The 8,890-nt window shown below is 46.0% G+C and overlaps 1 protein-coding gene across 1 annotated transcript in view; it reads right to left on the minus strand.

The window, feature by feature from the left end:
* ASB18 (ankyrin repeat and SOCS box containing 18) overlaps positions 1–5,665 on the minus strand; it is a 70,948-nt gene extending 65,283 nt beyond the window's left edge. Inside the window, exon 1 of the mRNA NM_212556.4 lies at positions 5,400–5,665. Coding sequence (NP_997721.2) covers positions 5,400–5,604 — 205 coding nt within the window. The 5' untranslated portion in view covers positions 5,605–5,665. The remainder of the gene's footprint in view (positions 1–5,399) is intronic.

The raw sequence follows: 8,890 nt of genomic DNA on the forward strand, positions 1-8,890 counted from the left end.
TTTACCCACACTCATTCCCCACCTATACATGACGCTGGTGAGATCTCTTAATAAAAACTCAATTAGTATTTCTTTAACTTTCCTCTGGGTGCTTAAATACTATTACCCCAAACACAACATAATGCCTCTATTTTTCTATTTCAATCAAGAATTCAAGTAGCATCTTGACTTGTATATAATATATCAGCAGCAAAATCATGGAATGCTGACATCCTTAATAATAGCAATTAGTAATCAGTTGTTTCTTAAGTCGTTTGATTACACCAGTTACCAAATTGTACAGTTGATGCATTTGGGGGGCGAGATGGGTCTCACTGCCCCTCCCCCAGCCGTCCTTTCTCCCTCTCTGTGTTCTCTGCAGCTACTAACCAATTGGTATTGAAAAGAGGCAAGCACAAATAATGCAGTTGTTGCTAATATTAAACAGTAGAGACTTGGCTTTAGCAGAAAGTAGAATTAAATATTTCTTTGCAGAAACCCAAATCCCAATAGTGTCTGTGGAAATGCAGTCTGTGCCCACCCAGCTGAAGGTGAGCAAAGGAGCTTAGCTCTTCCATGCCAATCACTGCACCCAGAGTCCAAGCTTTCTCTCAGGGTTAATACCCTGTGCTAGGCTCTGGATATAATCGAGTGTTAGGCGAGGTTCTGGCCCTAGAAGAGGTGGCATTCAGGTTTGAATTATCCAGTTGGTATATAAAAAGCAGCCTAGCAAGGCCATGCACTTCCGTAATGGATGGAGACTAAGGGCTTTATGCTTTCATGCAGGGAGGATGCACGATTTCTGTCCCAGTGGGAAGGGATGGCCTTCCAGTGGACGTGACCTCCCCTGCATGGGGTCGGAAGGATGAGATGGCAAAGGTGAGCAGAGGAGGTGCAGCCCTGGCTGGGAGGATCCTGTTGGGATGGGGATGCTGACTGTAGAGCGTGGGGGGCTCAGCCTCAGTGAGCCCAGCAGGATGTTGGGCATCTCAGGTCCATCCTTGCAGGAGAGCAGGTGCCTTCACAAGGGCACAGGCCAGTTGCCTGTTTAAGAGAATTCTGACTGATGGCCATTCTCCTGCCTAATGCCTGCCTCAGCAGGGTATGTTCTGTGCTTTCCCCCAATGTCTGCTGGGGCTAAAATTTTCAGTTCCTTTGACTTCTGCCTGCACCAAGGTGGGGGCACATGTTCACCTGAGGGACTTCTCCAGAAAAAGCCCTTTCCACCATTGGATGCCACTTTTTCTCTATGCTTTTTTTTGGTGATGTTGACATGGATGCATCAAAATAAATTCTGTTTCTTTCTGTTCTATTTGGTGGGAGTAGTAAGTTCACAGGCCGATGAGCATGGTGATTGCACTGCAAGAGGCAAGGTCCTCAAGTGATCATGTTAACATGCAGAGCGAATGGTTACTTTTCTTTTTCTTATTTTTTCACATTGTCATCTTTAGAATAAAACTCAGAGTTCTGTCTACTGGGCTTGTCCTTGGGATAGAAACCTCTTCCCTCTTCTTTCCCCCAGGTACTTTTGCCAACATGACCCTCGACTCTTGCCTTCTCCTGGCTCAGGTGGGCATCACCAGCTCTGCCCCCTCTCTTGGCCCAGCCCTGTTTTCCTGTGTTATCATTCCTTCCTCTTCACATTCCTCCTCTCAGGGATTTCGGTGTTTGACAGTGTCCATTCCCAATATGTGCTGCATTTCAAGGTCATTGCCATAAGTTTTGACCACTGTTCAAAAATTGTAAAGACCCTACATGTAGCTTAGAATCCAAACAGCTCTTTCTCCCATCAAGGATGGTCCCCCCAAACTCGCCCTTACCTTGAGAAAGAGAACATTTGCTCCCACAGGAAAAAGGAACCTATGCCCATTTTAGGCTGCGACAGTGAGTCTTTGGGATTATGGCCTCAGAGAAGCATGGAGAAGGAGGGAACCTAAACGATGAACCAAGCCAGCAGTGGTTCCCAAGGAGCATCTGCAAATCACCAATTCTACGGGTTGTCAGCAGACATGAAAGTGAGGTTCTGGGTTGAGATGAGAAACCGTGCCAAATGCAATTGCAATCCTTAAGTCCCTTTGTGGTAAAACTCCTCCAAGCCTTTGATATGTCATCGTGCCAGTCTCTGAGGGGAGGCCCCAGCAGAAAGCAGTTCCCAAGCTCATCCCACCATGGAGCTCTTCTCAGGAAGCTTGTGGGTCTCTGTGTGGGAAGCACTAATCTAATCTCATACCCTCGTTAATAAATGGAGACGTTGGTCTCGAGACAGACAGTGAGTTTCCTGAGGTTACACAGCTCAGTGGAGTAGAGGTTCAATAAATCATCATAATCACAGTTCCCTCTTGTTTCTATCTTAGCTGGTGGCCCTATCCTCTATTCATCACCACAACCTTCCCATTGAGCCCCCCAATTATTTGTAAAGATGCTTAGAGATGATCCACACCAATCCCCTTTTTGAAAATGAGGAAATTAAGGTTCAAAGAGGTGGTGTGACATGTGCAAGGTCACACAGGTCATGGGAGAGCTTAGGCAAGAACCTGGGTCCCTTTCCTCTCATCTTTGTTACTTTGCCTTTGTGTCTTCCTTTGCATTGGCTTAGACTCTTGCCATCTCTCACCTGGGCAACTGCCTTCAATGAACTCCCAGCTAGACTCATCTCCTTCCTAGCCTTTCTCTGCCTCCTTCAAATCCTAGTTTCCCATGTTAGCCAGAGTGGCATACCCCAAATGAACGTCTGACCGTGTTGCTCCCTGCACCCTTGTCCTGAAGTCCAGCCTGCTTTCTCTGTGATAAAGTCACTGATAACGCGTGCCCTAGGATCATGTGTTTAATCATTTAGCATACCATCGTCCTGAATTGAAGCAACCTGGAACAGACCCAAGCACTTTAAACATGTCATTAGTATCAAATTGTCCCTGCAGTGCTGAATCATTAGGTAGGAAATAGTACATGTGTATGTGTCAGTCTGTTTTCTTCCTGCTGATAAAGACATACCAGAGACTGAGTAATTTATAAAGACAATGAGGTTTAACGGACTCACAGTTCCACGTGGCTGGGGAGGCCTCACAATCATGGCAGAAGGTGAGGGAAGAACAAAGACACGTTTTACATGGTGGCAGGCAAGAGATAAGGAGAGCCAAGTGAAAGGGGAAGCCCCTTATAAAACCATCAGATCTCGTGAGACTTATTCACTACCACAATAATCGTATGGTGGAAACTGTCCCCATGATTCAATTATCTCCCACTGGGTCCCTCCCACAACACGTGGGAATTGTGGGAGCTATAATTCAAGATGAGATTTGGGTGGGGACACAGCCAAACCATATCAGTATGTAATTTATAACTGTGGAAGGAATGTAACTTTCTTATAACAATTTTCATAGTTTCAAGTGTTTGGTAAAATGAGACACACAGTAAAGATTTTGCAGGGCAATTAGTAATGTGAAAAGAAAGGATATTTAGGTTCAGGATTCCCAATACACAAATCTTCAACCGGCTGGGACTGGTTTATGAAGGAAGAGCTGTTGAGAGGACGCTTGCTGTAGTCAGGATCCCAACAGAAAGCAGATGGCATGAGCTCAGGGCATGCTGAAGGCAGGCCGGGTTACAGGGGCTACAGGAGACCACTTACAGGTGGCAGCAGCCACAGCGGATGGCCATTCCTAACCCTGTACCTGATAGGGCTGGAGGAGGGGCAGGAGCTGCTGGGCAGGAGCCAAGCCTTCCACAGAAGGAGGCTGCTAAACCCAGCAGCGATCTGGCAGGGAGGGCCGGGGAAGCACTTGCCCTACCCTCACTTTCCTCCAACTCCTATCATTAGTGGCACCCAACAGGAGCCAGAGGGCAAGTGGGACTGATGCAGTTTGCAGAGATCAGCCTCGGGGGGGTGCTTGGGCACGGTGGGCCTAAAGGGTGAATGCAAGATGTACAGCTCAGCACTCCCAGTCCAATCACTGCTTGTGATGACAACCTCCCCTAAACCCCCCCCAGGGCAATCTTCTAGAGAGATGGAAGGTACCAAGTTTGGGATCATGGCTCCTGGGCCTATGGACCCCCGCCAGATATTAGGAAAACCAAGGTGAAGAGGAAGCAAGAGAAGGTTCCTCCCTAAAGCGACTTGCTTAAGTCCCCACTGAAAGGCAGCCCAGAAAGTAGACCCAAACCAAGGGGGGGGGGCGGACCCCCTCGGAAGTTCCAATCTCAGACTCCTCGCCTCAGCACCCTGCAAGCTCCATTCCCTAGCAGCAACTCCCACTCATGTCCCATCTGTGTTCCTCCTGCATGTTGCGCACACGTGTGCATGTGATGCATGTACTTGCGTGTGCGTGTGTGCACCTATGTTGGGAGGGAGAATGGGGGTGGAAAGGAGCCCTCAGCATCCCTTAGAGGCCAAGACTAACCTTGTCCCCTAATCTGACAAGCTGGGAAACAGCACAATACAACTAAAAGTAAATCACAGGTCAGGAAAACACTTTCAGGAAACCTAACAAAGGGATGATGTCTATGTTACGTGAAGAAGTCCTACAAAATGATAAAAATGATTCCAAGAGATGGAGAGTTCCTGCCCAAGACCCAAATAGACAGGTCTTGCACCTGATGAGGCCTACAAAGAAAAAATCCTATGGACAAGACTTTGTCCAGACCTGCAAAGAAAGGATGGGCGACAGGCAGTGAAGAATTACCAGTGTGTGCTTATCAAATGGCAATTTAATACAAACATTCATTACCAGTGATGCTCCTTGGTGAGGTTGTGGTGAAACACATCACCTCACTGTCAGAGGGAACAGAAACCCTTGCGGAAAACAATTTGGAACCAATTTAGAAACAATACAATTTGAAAAAATGTTATGTTCTTGTTCCAGTTATATGGCTCCTAGGAATTTATGGTAAGGATATAATCCCAAAAAAGAAAAAAGCCGTATGAATCCTAATAAAGATGTTCGTTACAGCATTATTTATAGAAGCAAAAAGGTAACCAAATACTATCTTTTTGTAGGCATTTGGTTTAAGTATTTCAGTAGGGGATTGAAATTGGGAAGACTATGTAGCAACATGGAAAATGCTTTAGATTTAGATTTTGTAGATCTCAAGGGAGCAGAACACACAATTATGTGTATGATATGGTTATCAGTGGGTGAAATTTACACACGCAAATGGACAGGCTTGGAAAACAATGGAGCCACAGAGCAGCCACTGTGGTAGGATTAGTTTTTTTGTGTTGTGTTGCACTTGTTGCTTATGTCGCACACGCATGTACATGGTCTATGCAGTACACATATATGCATGTATGTATGAGAGTCAGATATCCGAGTACATATCATTTACTTTTTCCAAACATTTGCCCCTCTACCTCCAGGATCTGCCCACCCCATCAGTGTAACTTAGTAATTAAATCCCAGATGCAGCAGGCTCGTTCTGGTTACCTAGCAGCATGCCGGTGGGCAGCTGAGCCGAGGGGTCTTTCATCCAGTCGTCATTGGCCAGTTCTATCACAGCGTCCACAGGCGTGATTTCAGTGCAGATTAAATCCCTCACTCTCTCCTCATCTTTGGCATCCAGGGCAGACTTTAATCTCTTCACTAAATCTGAGTTGAGTGGGTAGTCGGGAAGGTAATCCGAGTTGGACATTGTTACGTCGTTTCTGCAGTGACCAGCCCTTCTTTTCTTCCTCTAAAGCGACTCCAAAGTCAGCAGCTGTCCGTGAGAGTGGCGTGGGGGCTGCTATAAATAGCAGCACCCTGGCTCCTCTTACAGTCCCTGCGGAGGGCCACCTGCCAGCAGGGAGGTGTGAAGTAATCTTTCCAGAGGCCTCAGCAAAGGATTATTCTAGAGATGGGGGCAGCAGACATGTTTGTGAGTGGTGCAAGAAGGAGAGACAATATTTTCAAAGACAGCTTTCATGGGTATTGTTGAATAATATCTTCTTTTATCAAAAGTGAGGCTCTCTCCTGAAACTTTGAAAACCTCTTCCTGGCACTGGGCTTGGACCTCTATTCTGTGGAAAGGAACATTTTCTAATATTCTACCCCTTGTGTTCCTTCACTTCCTCTAAAAGGAGCGTCTGGTCACCTGCAAATTGGACATGCCTCAAACGCATAGAATGGAATGGAATCTTTGGTTTCCAAATGCAGAGAAGGACTGGCTGATCTCAGGAAGACGGAAGCATCACAGAAAAACAAAAAAAAGTAACCTAAATATTACCTGTGACCTCCCTATGCCTCAAGGCTGGTAAACTTTGCTCAAAGCCTATAATTCCATGACTTGTGGAAGTGTGGAGCCCTCAGGGGGATTTCTGTGCACTCCTAGGGGCAAAGGTGGGGCTTTCTCTCCTTGACCTGTGTCTTCAGTGTGCTTGGGTCTCTGTGTGCCAACCTGTGCATAAGCACAGCTGTGCCTGAAGCTTCTCTGCTGATGCCAAGTGTGCTGTGGTCTCTGAGGGCCCAGGGCGGGCCGTGGAGCTTACAGGGCCTCCTTCGCCTTGCCTTCTATCTCGCCATCTTTTCCATTCCTTACTTTCTTTCTTCTCCCCTGTGCTTAATTTTATGTCTCAATTTGGCTAGGACCCCAGTGCCCAGAGACTTGGCCCAACACTAGTCTAGATGTTTCTATGAAGGTGTTTTTGGGATCAGATTAGAATTTCTTGAACCGGCAGACTTGGAGTGAAGCCGATGGCTCTCCCTAATGTGTGTGGGCCTCCATCAATCAGTTGAACGTCTGAATAGAACAAAAGACTGACTTTCCCTGAGCAAGAAGGAATTCTGGCGGCAGACAGCCTTTGGTCTCAACCTCAGGTCTTCCCTGGGTCTCCAGCCTATCAGCCCACCCTGCTGATGATGGATTTACCAAGTCTGCACAATAGTATGAGCCAATTCTTGAAGAGAAATTCTCTCTCTCTCCCTACATAACTGTTGGTTCTGTTCCTCTGGAGAACACTGACTAATACACCCTCTTCCTCCTTTCAGCTCATTTGTGTGATTTTCCAGCTTCTGTTCCATCTGCACTTGAGGTGCCAGGCACTGTAGTTCCTGCCCAACATCCATTCTCCTTCCACCTGCCCAACACAGCCTGGCTTTCTTGGTGGGGGCACTGTGCCCAGCCCCTGGGGATGAGTCATGTTGATTTAGGTCAGTAGTGTCAGTCCCAGTCTCCTTTGCCTGCACTCAATGTCCAGTCTCCCTTGCAACCCAGTTCTGGCTGCTGGGGTGAGTCTGGGAAGTTATGTGCTTTCCTGATCAAGAGGGACAGAAGTGACTGGCAACACCCTTTCCTGTTCTTGTTTCCTTGAACATGGACATGATATCTGGAGGTGCAGCAGCCACATCACAGCTGGGAGGCAACAGATATGAAATGAAGGATTAACACAGAAAGGAGAGTGGGATGGAAAGCGGGGGAGAGACTGGGGATGACATTTCTGAACCCCTGCCCCAGCTCTGGGGCCCCAGCCACCAGACCTCTTGTCTTTATGCCATAAGCACTTTCTGTGTGTTTTCTGTTACATACAACTGAAGGCATTCTTGGTTGATACAGGTAGTGTATTTACTCTGCCTTTCAATCATGGAAATGTCCTGGTTTTAGTCTAAGGAGGTGCAGGGGGAATGGCTCAGCCAGTGAAGAACTTGAGTTGATCCTCCCAAGCCTTCTATTCTTTGATAATAGTAACGACCTGCCTTCTATGATAAAACCCCAGTGGATTTTGCAATGACAACAGCCAACTCCAGACTCCCCAAGTGGAGGAGCAATGGCACCATAGTTTGGGCTCATGAATGAATAGTAGCCAGCGCCACTGGAGTGACTACCTTTTAGTGTCACAGACCCTGACAAATGGACCCTGATAGAGACATCCTTGGAATCTCTGGCAATGGACTCCTCCCAGAAGGGAAATACGAACTCTGAGGATCTGCCTGCTGTTCAGAGGCTTGACCGAACTGCAGAGTATAATTGGTCTCTGCTTCTTTCTTTGACCAAAGAACTGGGGGTTTTGGAGATTTTTGAGCTTAAATTTCCAAGCACAAATACTTTGCAGCATCAAATATCTTACATGTAGGGAGAAATCTAGCACTAGTACATTTGTGTAGATACAATGACATGAGGGGTAGTGACCACAGGAAAATGATCAGCACTGGGGTAAGGCAATTTAAAGAAACAAAATGAGAATTATTAGAGACTGCTATCAAACTTCAAATCAGAAGGGAGGTAAAGATGAAGCACTTGTTAGGCAGATAATAAGATGACAAAGCCTCAAAATACGGCACTCATGGATCTTAATTACCAAGCTATCTGCTGGGTGTTTAATCAGTGGCACATACACTATGCTAATTATTCCGGCTAATTTCGTTATAATGCAATTCTTTATCAACCCTGCTATGTAAAAATTAGGAATTGAAATGTAACTAACACAAATTATATTTAAGGCAACATGAATTTCTTTATTTCAGCATGAAATCTTCTAGTCTCTATTTCTTTATCTTTCTTTCTGTGATTATCTAATGTCACCCCCTCCCCAACCCAGCCCCCCACAGCCTAAACCATCATTTGAGGAGAAAGGAACCCAGCACAAATATTTCCCCTTTTAACTTCTAGGAAATCATTCGTTTGACTTTCTCCTTCAGCGATTGTCCTTGAAAGGTGTAGAATATATTTAAGCAATCAGTGACAGACGGATCCTAGCTTTCTCTGCATCAGATAAAGGTCGCTTTATTGTTCTATTTTAATTTTTAAATAATCATTGGAGGGTGCCATAATTCATGTATTTTCAGTGATGTATGTAACTTACATCAAGTTGTGTTTACAAATGTGTTTAGATGAGGGCTAATAACACATATCTTGTAGAGAAGCATAAATATTGTCTGGAATTTTTAATGTCATGCAGCTCTGCATCCAAAGAGGTCAGGACTGCCAGGCTTGTGATTTTCTC

This window comes from Homo sapiens, chromosome 2 (assembly GCF_000001405.40).
Source record: "Homo sapiens chromosome 2, GRCh38.p14 Primary Assembly".
Taxonomy (NCBI): domain Eukaryota; kingdom Metazoa; phylum Chordata; class Mammalia; order Primates; family Hominidae; genus Homo; species Homo sapiens.